At 52.0% G+C, this 13,184-nt stretch overlaps 1 protein-coding gene across 13 annotated transcripts in view; it reads left to right on the forward strand.

The window, feature by feature from the left end:
* ATP11A (ATPase phospholipid transporting 11A) overlaps window positions 1-13,184 on the forward strand; it is a 197,131-nt gene that overhangs the window by 167,614 nt on the left and 16,333 nt on the right. For 12 of the 13 annotated variants that reach the window (NM_015205.3, XM_011537480.3, NM_001405663.1 and 9 more), the window contains exons 21-25: window positions 167-269; window positions 494-639; window positions 1,742-1,801; window positions 2,636-2,763; window positions 4,789-4,924. In NM_015205.3, coding sequence (NP_056020.2) covers window positions 167-269; window positions 494-639; window positions 1,742-1,801; window positions 2,636-2,763; window positions 4,789-4,924 — 573 coding nt within the window. Of the gene's footprint in view, window positions 1-166; window positions 273-493; window positions 640-1,741; window positions 1,802-2,635; window positions 2,764-4,788; window positions 4,925-13,184 lie in introns of those variants that run through there. The other variant, XM_047430219.1, reaches the window with a different exon arrangement.

Raw genomic sequence — 13,184 nt, forward strand, 5'->3', positions numbered from 1 at the left:
ATCCTATATGGAGAAAACAGACAGAATGTCGTAAATTACCTCTAAGTAGTTAATTTTTTTATTTGCCTAGGCTAACTTTTCATCTTTGTTATTTCTGCCTAGTGAATGAATAACCTGTTCAGAAGTGAAACAGAGAAGATAAATTCCGCATTTCTTTCTTTTGCAGATTGTTAAATTAATCAAATTTTCAAAAGAGCACCCAATCACGTTAGCAATTGGCGATGGTGCAAATGATGTCAGCATGATTCTGGAAGCGCACGTGGGCATAGGTGAGCTTCGTCCTTGCTGCTGGCACATCCTGGTGGCCAGGTCACCCCTTCGCTAGACAAAGGCCCATGGCAGCACGCAGGTGCATTCAGGACACCCCCGTCACCACCCTCGTGTGTGACCGGGAAGGCTCATGATGATGGTTTCATCCGTTCTTCTCCCCGTCCCTGCCCTGTGTGTGGTGTGCAGAAAGCATTTCTTCAGCTCCTTCACCTCCGTCTTCTAGGTGTCATCGGCAAGGAAGGCCGCCAGGCTGCCAGGAACAGCGACTATGCAATCCCAAAGTTTAAGCATTTGAAGAAGATGCTGCTTGTTCACGGGCATTTTTATTACATTAGGATCTCTGAGCTCGTGCAGTACTTCTTCTATAAGGTAGGAGGGTCGCCGCTCCCCCTCACGGTGTTAGCAACAGGTCACGCACAGGGTGGCACGACCCTTGTCTGAGCCACTTGATGCCACAAGAGGTCATTGATCTCCGAGGAGCAGCAACTGTCAGAAAGGAAGGGGTGAATCTGATTGCAGTCATCTCTTGCTTAGCTGTGACTTTGCTTTTTACAGTTTCCATTACCTACAGTCAACCCATGCCCAAAAATATCAAACGCAAAATTGCAGAAATAAACAGTTCCTCAGGTTTAAATTGCATGCCATTCCGAGCAGCGTGATGAAGTCTCACGCCGTCCTGCTGTCTCCTTCCTGGGATGTGGCTTGTCCCTTTGTCCGGTGTGCCGATGCTGTGTGTACACTACCTGCCCCTCAGTCACTCTGTAGCTGTCTTGGTGATGAGGTTGACAGATCACAAGAAGAAGGGTGAATATGACACAATAATATATTTTAAGAGGAGGAGGGAGAGACCAAATTCATGTAACTTTGATTACGGTATATTATTATAGTTATTCTATGTTTTGTTGTTACTCTTTCACTGCACCTACTTTATAAATTAAACTTTATCATGGGTGTGTATGTATACGAACACACATACCCATCTAGAGCATAGACAGGGTTCAGGACCATCCGCAGACTCTGCATCCCCCCAGGGTCTGGGAATGTACCCCTGAGGATGAGGAGGGCCTGCCGTGCCGCGGGAGGAGACCCCCAGCCCTTTTCTCCCCCCACAGAATTGAGTGTGGAACCAGTGAGAACCTTTCAGGTGGAAATGTTTGAGGAAGGATTCCTTATTCACTGTGCAGTTCGATTCTTTCCCGTTTATACTGATACCTGCATTGCCTTCTTGTTTCTCTTGGAGCTGACAAATTTCCTCTATACGTTGTCTGTCCTGAGTGGCCAAAACGTGGTCACATGTGCATTTCAGTTGCCCCTGAAATAAGAGAAAGCTTTCTAGAACCCATTAGTGCTGTTCTGCCGCACGCTGGGTGCACGTGGATCCCTCCTCCCATGTGGGGTGGGCCACGTCGGTAGGTGGCGGCTGCCTCCCTCTGTCCCGTCACCGAACTAACAGTTATGCCTTGCCTTTCAGAACGTCTGCTTCATCTTCCCTCAGTTTTTATACCAGTTCTTCTGTGGGTTTTCACAACAGGTCAGTCCTAGGGTCTTCAGGGACAGGCTGTCTGAGCCTTCTTTTCCTTCCCGCAGTGGGTGGCTGCTGTGGGGAGGGGAGACTTGGGAATGAGCAGCACTCCCCGGCACCACGAGGGAGCCAGGGTGCCCAGCAGCAGGCGGGGGTGAAGGGTCGGGCCTGGGGAGGGGGGCCACGGAGCTGAGGAGTTGCCGTCCTGGAGGCCCCTTGTTCCATGTCTTCTGAAACTGCCGTGGCCCTGAGATGCGGGCCAGTGATGATGTGGTCTCCTCAGGGCCCAGCAGTGCTGGGCTGGGCATCCTGATGCCACTGCAAGAATTAACTCCAACTCGAGGTCCTTGTGGACATGGGCCACCCCGGTGCCTGGCACGTTAACACATGCAACGTGCCCATAGGGGAAGAAGACAGTTCCCATCCGGGAGGGGTGAAGGACTCCCCGGGCATCTGCCCTAGATGGACACCTCCTTCTGTCACATGTGTGCTCAGTGGTTGGCGGGCCAGCTGCCTTCATGGGAAGTGACTGCGACCAGAGTCACTGAAGCTTGAAGATGGCAATCAGAATTGCAAATGTTTTCTGTGACTTTTTTCCTTTTTTTTTTTTTTCTTGAAGTTTGTGCTGATAGAATGGGATGAGTCAGTGTTAGGCTTTTTGCCAGCTGTGACTTTCATCCTGAAATCACAGTTGATATCACAGACCCTAGTTTATATTGTTAAGCTTTGAAAAGCGCTCTGGTCTTTCTATGCATTTCAGAAAGAAAATATATTTAATCAAAAGATCCAAAAAGTTTGTAACAATGCACTGAGGTGCCACTTCTTGTGACTTTCCTCTTACAGACTTTGTACGACACCGCGTATCTGACCCTCTACAACATCAGCTTCACCTCCCTCCCCATCCTCCTGTACAGCCTCATGGAGCAGCATGTTGGCATTGACGTGCTCAAGAGAGACCCGACCCTGTACAGGTACCATCCTCCAAACAGCCTCTCCTGAGAGCAGAGAGAGTAACTAGGCAGCACTCTGGCAGTTCCTTCCAATAGCCACCTGGCAGACCTCAGTTGAGGGCCAGAAGCATTCGGCATCTGCTGATATTCTTGCTTGATCAGGAGCTTGTTTAAACTGGAAGCAACATAGCTCAAATGGAGATTCTTCAAGTCTTGCTGGATGGTTTATGCTGCATTTGGAACATCTGTGTGGAGCCAGTTTGCACTTTCCTGTGCTTTCTGACAGTCCTGAGGGAGCTGGGGTACAAGCGTCTTCCTCGTTGTGACCCTAGGGAATCTGTGGCCTAAGTTATCCTTTAAAACCATGTGTGTTCCATTCAGTGAGAAAAAACAAAAATTAACAGCTCTGGTTTCAGGGTGTCTTTTCTCCCCGTTATTTTTTAAAAATAATATGGAAGAGATATTTTTCTGCTATTTCAGAAATGCCCCCCAAGGTCTCTGGCAGATTCAATATGTTACTGTTTTCCATGGTCTTTTAAATTGTATTAGTCCATTTTCATCCTGCTGTGAAGACATACCTGAGACTGGGTAATTTATGAAGGAAGGAGGTTTAATGGACTCACAGTTCCACATGGCTGGGGAGGCCTCACAATCATGGCGGAAGGCATGAGGAGCAAAGGCACGTCTTACATGGTGGCAGACAGGAGAGCGTGTGCAGGAGAACTTTCCTTTATAAAACCATCAGATATCGTGAGACTTAGTCACTATTACGAGAACAACATGGGAAAAAACCACCCCCATGACTCAATCACTGCCCACCAGGTCCCTCCCATGATGCGTGGGGATCATAGGTGCTACAATTCAAGACGAGATTTGGGTGAGGACACAGCCAAACCCTATCATAAATTAAAATTTTATTTTTCAGATAATTTTACATCCATATGCAGTTGTAAGAAATAATAGATTCTGTGGGCCCTGATCCCATGTCCCTTAGTGGTGACACGCAAGAAACTGCAGTCCAGCATCACATCCAGTGTACTGATGTTGGTGCCGTTCACCCGTTCCCTTATTCAGATCACCCAGCTTTCCCTGCACTTACGTACATGTGTGTACATGACACGTGTATGTGTGTGTTCAATTCTGTGCAGTCTTCTCACATGCGTGTTTCCTGCATCCACCACCATAGCCAAGACCACTCACTTCCCTGCCTGGGATTCTGCAGGAATCCGTGCATCGGCCTCACTGCCCTCATCAGAATATTTAGCCATTCTGTGGGATCTTGACGGCTTGGATCCAAAAGTAATCACTGTAGGTGATTAAGGACGATGATAAAAAGGCAAACTTCTGAGTTGGTTGTACATCTTTAATAAATCTAAAGAAAATGGGAATAAATCTAAGAAAATGGGAGAAGATATACTGTTCTAGACATGTGTCTGAAAGGAATCCTGCAAATTCTGTCTTATTGAACAGGCATCTTTAATAAATCTAAAGAAAATGGGAATAAATCTAAGAAAATGGGAGAAGATATACTGTTCTAGACATGTGTCTGAAAGGAATCCTGCAAATTCTGTCTTATTGAACAGGCATAAGGTGTCACGTCAGGCGTAAGGTGTCACAGCAGGCGTAAGGCGTCACGTCAGGCGTAAGGTGTCACAGCAGGCGTAAGGCATCACGTCAGGCGTAAGGCGTCACGTCAGGCGTAAGGTGTCACAAGCTCGGTGAACGTCAGGGGTGTGCCTTGTGTTCTCTGTTCGTTGCTTTCAGAAGCAGCAGCATGTGGCAGCATCTCTGTGCCTATGACGATATTGCAGTGAATATGAGAGAGAAAATATCTGAGCAAAAGTTAGCCAAGGACATGAGTGGGTAGTGAAATGCTGGTTGTGATGAACATGCCACATTTGTGGCCAGAGCACAAACTTGATGTTTACTGGCCGTGCACATCTTATCCCATGAAGACAACGTCCAGGGATGGCCACCCCAGAGCCTGGGGGAGGTGCCGGGCCCTGATTCTCGAGGACACACGCTGTGCACCTTTCTCCTCACCAGGGACGTCGCCAAGAATGCCCTGCTGCGCTGGCGCGTGTTCATCTACTGGACGCTCCTGGGACTGTTTGACGCACTGGTGTTCTTCTTTGGTGCTTATTTCGTGTTTGAAAATACAACTGTGACAAGCAACGGGCAGGTCAGTACAGAGCTCGATTGCGCTGACTTAGCTGCTTAGGAATAAAGCCTCCCAAGCCCATATGATGATTTTGCCAAAGCAGAATTCAGTGCAGCCCATGCAGCTTCCCAGCGGGGTCCATCACCACCTGCGCAGTAATTCAGTGCAGGCCACGCAGCTTCCCAGCGGGGTCCATCACCACATGTGCCGTAATTCAGTGCAGCCCGTGCAGCTTCCCAGCAGGGTCCATCACCACCTGCGCAGTAATTCAGTGCAGCCCATGCAGTTTCCCAGCGGGGTCCATCACCACGTGCACAGTAATTCAGTGCAGCCCATGCAGCTTCCCAGCGGGGTCCATCACCACCTGCGCAGTAATTCAGTGCAGGCCACGCAGCTTCCCAGCGGGATCCATCACCACGTGCACAGTAATTGAGTGCAGCCCATGCAGCTTCCCAGCGGGGTCCATCACCACCTGTGCAGTAGTTCAGTGCGGCCCATGCAGCTTCCCAGCAGGGTCCATCACCACCTGCACAGTAATTCAGCGTAGCACATGCAGTTTCCCAGCGGGGTCCATCACCACCTGCACAGTAATTCAGTGCAGCCCATGCAGCTTCCCAGCGGGGTCCATCACCACCTGCACAGTAATTCAGTGCAGCCCATGCAGCTTCCCAGCGGGGTCCATCACCACCTGCGCAGTAATTCAGTGCAAACCATGCAGCTTCCCAGCGGGGTCCATCACCACCTGCGCAGTAATTCAGTGCAGCCCATGCAGCTTCCCAGCGGGGTCCATCACCACCTGCGCAGTAATTCAGTGCGGCCCATGCAGCTTCCCAGCGGGGTCCATCACCACCTGCGCAGTAATTCAGTGCAGGCCCTGCAGCTTCCCAGCGGGGTCCATCACCACCTGCGCAGTAATTCAGTGCAGCCCATGCAGCTTCCCAGCGGGGTCCATCACCACGTGCGCAATAATTCAGCATAGCACGTGCAGCTTCCCAGCGGGATCCATCACCACATGGGCAGTAATTCAGTGCGGCCCATGCAGCTTCTCAGCGGGGTCCATCACCACCTGCACAGTAATTCAGTGCAGCCCATGCAGCTTCCCAGCGGGATCCATCACCACCTGCGCAGTAATTCAGTGCAGGCCTGCGCAGCTTCCCAGCGGGGTCCATCACCACCTGCGCAGTAATTCAGTGCAGCCCATGCAGCTTCTCAGCAGGGTCCATCACCACCTGCACAGTAATTCAGTGCAGGCCATGCAGCTTCTCAGCGGGGTCCATCACCACCTGCGCAGTAATTCAGTGCGGCCCATGCAGCTTCCCAGCGGGGTCCATCACCACCTGCGCAGTAATTCAGTGCAGCACGTGCAGCTTCCCAGCGGGGTCCATCACCACCTGCGCAGTAATTCAGTGCGGCCCATGCAGCTTCCCAGCGGGGTCCATCACCACGTGCACAGTAATTCAGTGCAGCACGTGCAGCTTCTCAGCAGGGTCCATCACCACCTGCACAGTAATTCAGTGCAGGCCATGCAGCTTCTCAGCGGGGTCCATCACCACCTGCGCAGTAATTCAGTGCAGCACGTGCAGCTTCCCAGCGGGGTCCATCACCACCTGCGCAGTAATTCAGTGCAGCACGTGCAGCTTCCCAGCGGGGTCCATCACCACATGGGCAGTAATTCAGTGCGGCCCATGCAGCTTCCCAGCGGGGTCCATCACCACCTGCGCAGTAATTCAGTGCGGCCCATGCAGCTTCCCAGCGGGGTCCATCACCACATGGGCAGTAATTCAGTGCAGGCCATGCAGCTTCCCAGCGGGGATCATCACCACGTGCGCCATAATTCAGCGTAGCGCGTGCAGCTTCCCAGCGGGATCCATCACCACATGGGCAGTAATTCAGTGCAGCCCATGCAGCTTCCCAGCGGGGTCCATCACCACATGCACAGTAATTCAGTGCAGCCCGTGCAGCTTCCCAGCGGGGTCCATCACCACCTGCGCAGTAATTCAGTGCGGCCCATGCAGCTTCCCAGCGGGGTCCATCACCACCTGCACAGTAATTCAGTGCGGCCCATACAGCTTCCCAGCGGGGTCCATCACCACATGGGCAGTAATTCAGTGCGGCCCATGCAGCTTCCCAGCGGGGTCCATCACCACCTGCGCAGTAATTCAGTGCAGCACGTGCAGCTTCCCAGCGGGGTCCATCACCACCTGCACAGTAATTCAGTGCGGCCCATGCAGCTTCTCAGCGGGGTCCATCACCACCTGCGCAGTAATTCAGTGCAGCCCATGCAGCTTCCCAGCGGGATCCATCACCACCTGCGCAGTAATTCAGTGCAGGCCTGCGCAGCTTCCCAGCGGGGTCCATCACCACCTGCGCAGTAATTCAGTGCGGCCCATGCAGCTTCTCAGCAGGGTCCATCACCACCTGCACAGTAATTCAGTGCAGCCCGCGCAGCTTCCCAGTGGGGACCATCACCACGTGCGCAATAATTCAGCGTAGCACGTGCAGCTTCCCAGCGGGATCCATCACCACATGGGCAGTAATTCAGTGCAGCCCATGCAGCTTCCCAGCGGGGTCCATCACCACCTGCGCAGTAATTCAGTGCAGGCCCGCGCAGCTTCCCAGCGGGGTCCATCACCACCTGCGCAGTAATTCAGTGCAGCACGTGCAGCTTCCCAGCGGGATCCATCACCACATGGGCAGTAATTCAGTGCGGCCCATGCAGCTTCCCAGCGGGGTCCATCACCACCTGCGCAGTAATTCAGTGCAGCCCGTGCAGCTTCCCAGCGGGGTCCATCACCACATGTGCAGTAATTCAGTGCAGGCCATGCAGCTTCTCAGCGGGGTCCATCACCACATGTGCAGTAATTCAGTGCAGGCCATGCAGCTTCTCAGCGGGGTCCATCACCACATGTGCATAGCTCTGGGTCACTTTAAAGATCGCATTACCTGAGTGCTCAGTGTTGCTGTAAGGAAATGTCCTGCTGAAGTTTTTTTTTGTTTTTTTGTTGTTGTTGTTGAGACGGAGTCTCGCTCTGTTGCCCAGGTTGGAGTGCAATGGCGCAGTCTTGGCTCACTGCAAGCTCCACCTCCTGGGTTCACGCCATTCTCCTGCCTCAGCTTCCCAAGTAGCTGGGACTACAGGCGCCCGCCACCACGCCTGGCTGACTTTTTGAATTTTTAGTAGAGACGGGGTTTTACCGTGTTAGCCAGGATGGTCTCCATCTCCTGACCTCAGGTGATCTGCCCGCCTTGGCCTCCCGAAGTGCTGGGATTACAGGCGTGAGCCACCATGCACGGCCAGCCTGCTGAGGTTTTCAGACTTTATCTCTGTAACTAACAGTTCACCATCAGTTTGTTACCTAGTGGTACCATTATACCATTTAGACATTGCATTTTTGATGTGGGAATGAATTCCACGTTGAGCCCGTGTTAGATTTCCCCGAGTACCATACTTAGTCGTCTTCCTCTGTGATGAGTAGATTTGTAGTTTTCTAGCAGACATTCACTCTCTGGTTGTTTGCCTAACCCCTGGGGGTTTGTTTTATTTGTATCTTGCTTTTTTCTTTTTGCCACTGGCGTCCCTTCCCACCCTCAGATAATGACTACCAACACACATATGGTAAGACAATCATGGGTTTGTCGTTTCTCTGTGTTTTTGGAGTGCATTACAAATGAAATATTTCTCGAAAATATTTTCAAACGTGAATTCCTGTGTGCTTTGTCGGTAGAAACGCTGTTAGCCGCTGCTGCCCCACACACCCCAGAGCTAGCTCTGTGTTAGAAGGGTGTGTGCGCCTCCTGACGCACATCCTTGCTGTGTTCCCTCGGTTGCCATGTCAGGGTGGCCCATTGAGCCAGGGATGTTTTCCGAATTGACTGGATTCATGGGAGCTTCCCTCGATTTTAAATTAAAGGCAGCACAGGCATGTGTGGGAGGCCCGGTGGGGCCCTGTGCTTCCTGAGAGAGCCACACCAGGCATTCGGTAGATGTCAGAGACCATCCCTGCTTAAATGCCTCAGGTATTTAACTAGCCGTACAAGCAGACACCAGCGCTGACCTCGGAGAAAGTCCCTCTTCAGCAGCCCCTTCTGGGTGACTTCTAAACAGAAATCGGCTTCGTTCCTTGTTTAGCCTGACCTCTCTCTCCCTGTGTGTTTGTCCCTCAGACTGCTGGGTTCAAACACAAAAGTCCTGCTATGTGTCCTGTGCACCATTTACCTGCTTTAGTCGTTTTCATTCCTCTTTACTAAACACTGCTGTTATCCTTCGTCATCACTTAAATCAGTTTTTACCAGGTCTATCTTGAGAACCAATTCAAATATTATTTCACTGTTTTAAAAGCTTTAAGTTTTCTAGAACTTATTCTTTGTCTTCATTTATTTTAATTGAATAATTCCTGAATGCCACCAGGCCATGAACGTCATCAAACAGAGCTACCTGTTGATTCTTTTGTATCTTTTATGAGATTTTCTTCCGAGTTGGGCTTACGTAAGCATCTCGCGTAGCCCTTAAGAGAGAACTAAGAGGTAGTGTCCTGAGCACTGAGATTCCAGGCTCCTGGCGGCTGCCAATGGCAATAGCAAGTCCCCTTTTTCCCACACTTGATTTTCCAGTTTTCTCTCACAAACACCACCCTGGTTCACTACAACCACCCTATCAGCTGGACGTTCAGATCATGTGAAAGCTGAGGAAAGAGAAGTTCGGACAGACTAGACACCCTGTGCGGTGTCAGCTCCCGAGAGGCAGGGCCTGGGTCATACCCGGACGTCCGGCTCCAGACTTCATGGTGTTGCCCAGTGCGGCCTCTGGGTTGCTCTAGTTCCAAATTTCAGCGTGAATGTGAACGTGCCTCCCAAGAGCCCCCGGAGATGGACTTCAGGGGCAAGGACACGGGCGCCACTGTCCTAGGAGGGCAGCCCGGCTGTGCTCCTGAATGAGGTGCTGGCAACGCAGTGCCAGGGGCTTCTCTCAGCCTTCCTGGCAGGGTCTCTGCAGCGTCTCCGCCTTCTCGGATCCCTGGACCCCTGGCGTGTCCGCAGTCAGCTGCACCTGGTGGTCAGTGGGCACTGTGGCTCTGCTGCCTTCCTGGGATCCGAGGATTTCTACTAGCTCCTGTTTCCTGGTCTCTTCCGGCTGTACCCTCCAGCCCCTGGCTATGTCCTGGAAGGTACCTTGAGCCCCCACGGAACCCGCGTGCAGCCCCGGGGTGATGCCAGCACTCAGGGAACTTGGGGGCAGTCCTAGTGGCTGACAGCCCTCTTGGTCCTTACGTAGCAATTTGGGGTTGGGGTGCTCACCCCTGAGAATCTCCCTTCCAACCAGGATACTCCCAACGGGGTTACAGTTCAGAGGCCCTCTGGGATTGATTGTTCTTGGGTGAGAGCTACTTTGTTTTAAAGACCTAAATTATTCTATAGGAATATCTATAGATCCTGTGTAGGATTGGAGGAACAATAGAATTATGGACATCTCTTTCAAAAGTTCACCAATGGAGCATTTTCTGCACTGACATCGTAAGCCATAGTAACTTCTCATTTTGATGCCACAAATGAGAATGCGAAGACAACAGTTATTTGTTGAACAGCAAGACATTCCTAAGTGAACGGTTAAAAGCTCGGAACGTGCTTTGATAGACGTAGGATGCGATGAGAGCAGCTGAAACACGAGCGGTCCGCGTATGGGCCAGGTGGGAGGCAGAGGGATCTGCACAGGGAGGGGAGGCAGTGGATGCCACTCATGACCGTGACCTTGAGAAGGCGCAAGTTATGCTGGCCGTGGATGTTTTTATACATCAGAGTTAAATGGGTCTGGTCTGAGGACTTTTTGAGCAGAAAGCTTCTATAGGAATACCCATTCTCAAAGGAGGGAGGAAGTGGGGGCATGGGGCTTAGCCTGCAGTGGTGGAGGGTGGCCAGCCCCAGAGGCAGATCTGCTGAAGGAGTGAGGCTTTCGCACTGGTCAGGTTCTTGGCTGAGATGTGCCTGTCACATGAGGACAGGGTTCCACAGAAATCAGAAACAGGAGCTTCACTGGGGATGGCGTTGATGTCACTTGGAAGAAAAGGGTCCCTGTGAAAAGCCCTTTGAAAAAGGAGATTGGTATCCCAGGGATGCCTGCCACCCCCAGAATCTGATGGAAATAACGACCAGCAATTGTAGTAATAAACTATCCGCACATGTTAGTCCATTTTCACATGGCTCTGAAGAGCTACCTGAGACAGGGTGATTTAGGAAGAAAAGAGGTTTAATCGAGCCACAGTTCTGCAGGCTGCATAGGAAGCATCGCTGGGGAGGCCTCAGGAAACTTACAATCATGGCGGAAGGCAAAGGGGAAGCAAGGCCCTTCTTTACAAGGCTGCAGGAGAGAGAGAGCAAAGGGGAAAATGCTACACACTTTGAAACAACCAGATCTCATGAGAACTCACTCGCCCACCGTCAACGAGATCTGCAAGGAGGACGTCCATGATTCAGTCACCTCCCACCAGGCTCTCCCTCCAACACACGGGGATTATAATTTGAGATGAGATTTGGGTGAGGACACAAAGCCAAACCACATCATGGCAGTTCACCTGGGGGCCCCACTTCAGGCCACCAAGGGAATAAGAGGGCTTTCCAGAGATGCGTTTCAGGATAGCTCCACAGTGGACTAGCTTCCAAAGGACGTGGACACAGGTTAGTAATGGGTCAGCGTTTCTCAGGGGCCCTGACCAAGGTGCCTGATTCTGGATTCACGATAGCTGTGCTTTGTTCCTCACCTATAAAGCTTACAGCTGTGGCCCATGTGCTCTGCAGGACCAGGCATCCTGAGGCCTAACTCCTTATCCCAGTTCTGCCATTACCCCCTAAACCCAGGGAGCCCCAGCTGGGAGCTTAGAAAGGCAGTTTCTCGGCTCACAGCAGGGAGAGGGGACAGTGAGGAGGCCGTGTGAGTTGACTGCAGTTATCACCTGTGGCGCTGTTGGTGACACACACTGCTTCACAGGGCACCCTTGAGTTCATGTCTTGCTGCCATCTAACTCTTTCAGAGTTCTGTGTTGGGATGGCCAAGGTGAGGCCTGGGGGAGGAAGAGGAGAGCTGGGCAGCGTCAGGGGCTTTTCCTCCAGGCCCAGCTGATGTGGTTGTCTGGGTGCAAAGCCGCCCTCAGCTGCTGTGGAGGCACCACTTGGCTGAAAGCATCAGCTTCCAGTTACAGCACAGCAGCCTCCCGCCCTCCAGCACCTTGCTGGCCACATGTGCTTGTAGGCTGCTGCCAAGCCACAGCTGTTCCTAGAGGCATGATATTTTCCTGCCCCAGAAGTTAAGCCACAAAGAGACGGCACTTTTTGGTGAGTGTGAAACAGGCTTCTCACCCGGGCTCTGCTGACATTGGGGCCAGATGTACATCCTCGTGGGCCACTGTCGTGTGCACTCAGCAGCCCCTCCACCCCCCCATCCAAAGCTAGCAGACCCCACGCCCCAGAAATGTCTCCACCACGGCCAGGTGTCCCTGGGGGCAAGGCTGCCCCAGCCGAGAACCACAAGCATGTGTAGATCTGAGTGACACTGTAGGCCAGGCATTTCCAAGCCAGAAGGAGGAGGCCCACTTCTGATCACAATGAGGAAGTGAGGGAAAAACTGAAGGATGTGTTGATGGGGGCCCCTAAGAAGCGGTGTTCACTACAAAAGGTCCTAACACTTTTTTCTATAATCTACAAATGAGATGTTATCCTGTTATCCCACTGACCATGTGGGAGGACTGTAGCCCACACCCTCCCTCAGCTAAATCAAGGGGTATGGTGATGGGTGTGTTGTTTTGGTTGAAACTGAATTCTGAAGAACAGCCATTTGTATTCCAGCTTTTTAAGAGACAGAGTCTGTGCTCTGTCGCCCACGTTGGAGTGTAGTGGCGTGATCTCTGCTCACTGCAACCTCCGCCTCCCGGGCTCAAGCAATTCTCCTGCCTCAGCCTCCCTAGTGGCTGAGATTACAGGCAGGCGCCGCTACGCCCGGCTAATGTTTGTATTCTTAGTAGAGACGGGGTTTCACCATGTTGGCCAGGCTGGTCTCAAACTCTTGACCTCATGATCCGCCCACCTCGGCCTCCCAAAGCGCTGGGATTACAGGCATGAGCCACCACACCCGGCCCGCTTTTTAATTCTTTATAAAATAAAATTCCCTGCGAGGTGCAGTTCATGGAATCCGATAAACTAGAAATCGTCTGGGCCACAGCGCAGGAGCGTCCCAAAGGAAAGCAGGTTCTCCCGAAACAAGTTTCCAGTCGGGGGTTTTCCCCAAGGCGGGGGG

This window comes from Homo sapiens, chromosome 13 (genome assembly GCF_000001405.40).
Source record: "Homo sapiens chromosome 13, GRCh38.p14 Primary Assembly".
NCBI classification, from domain to species: Eukaryota; Metazoa; Chordata; class Mammalia; order Primates; family Hominidae; genus Homo; species Homo sapiens.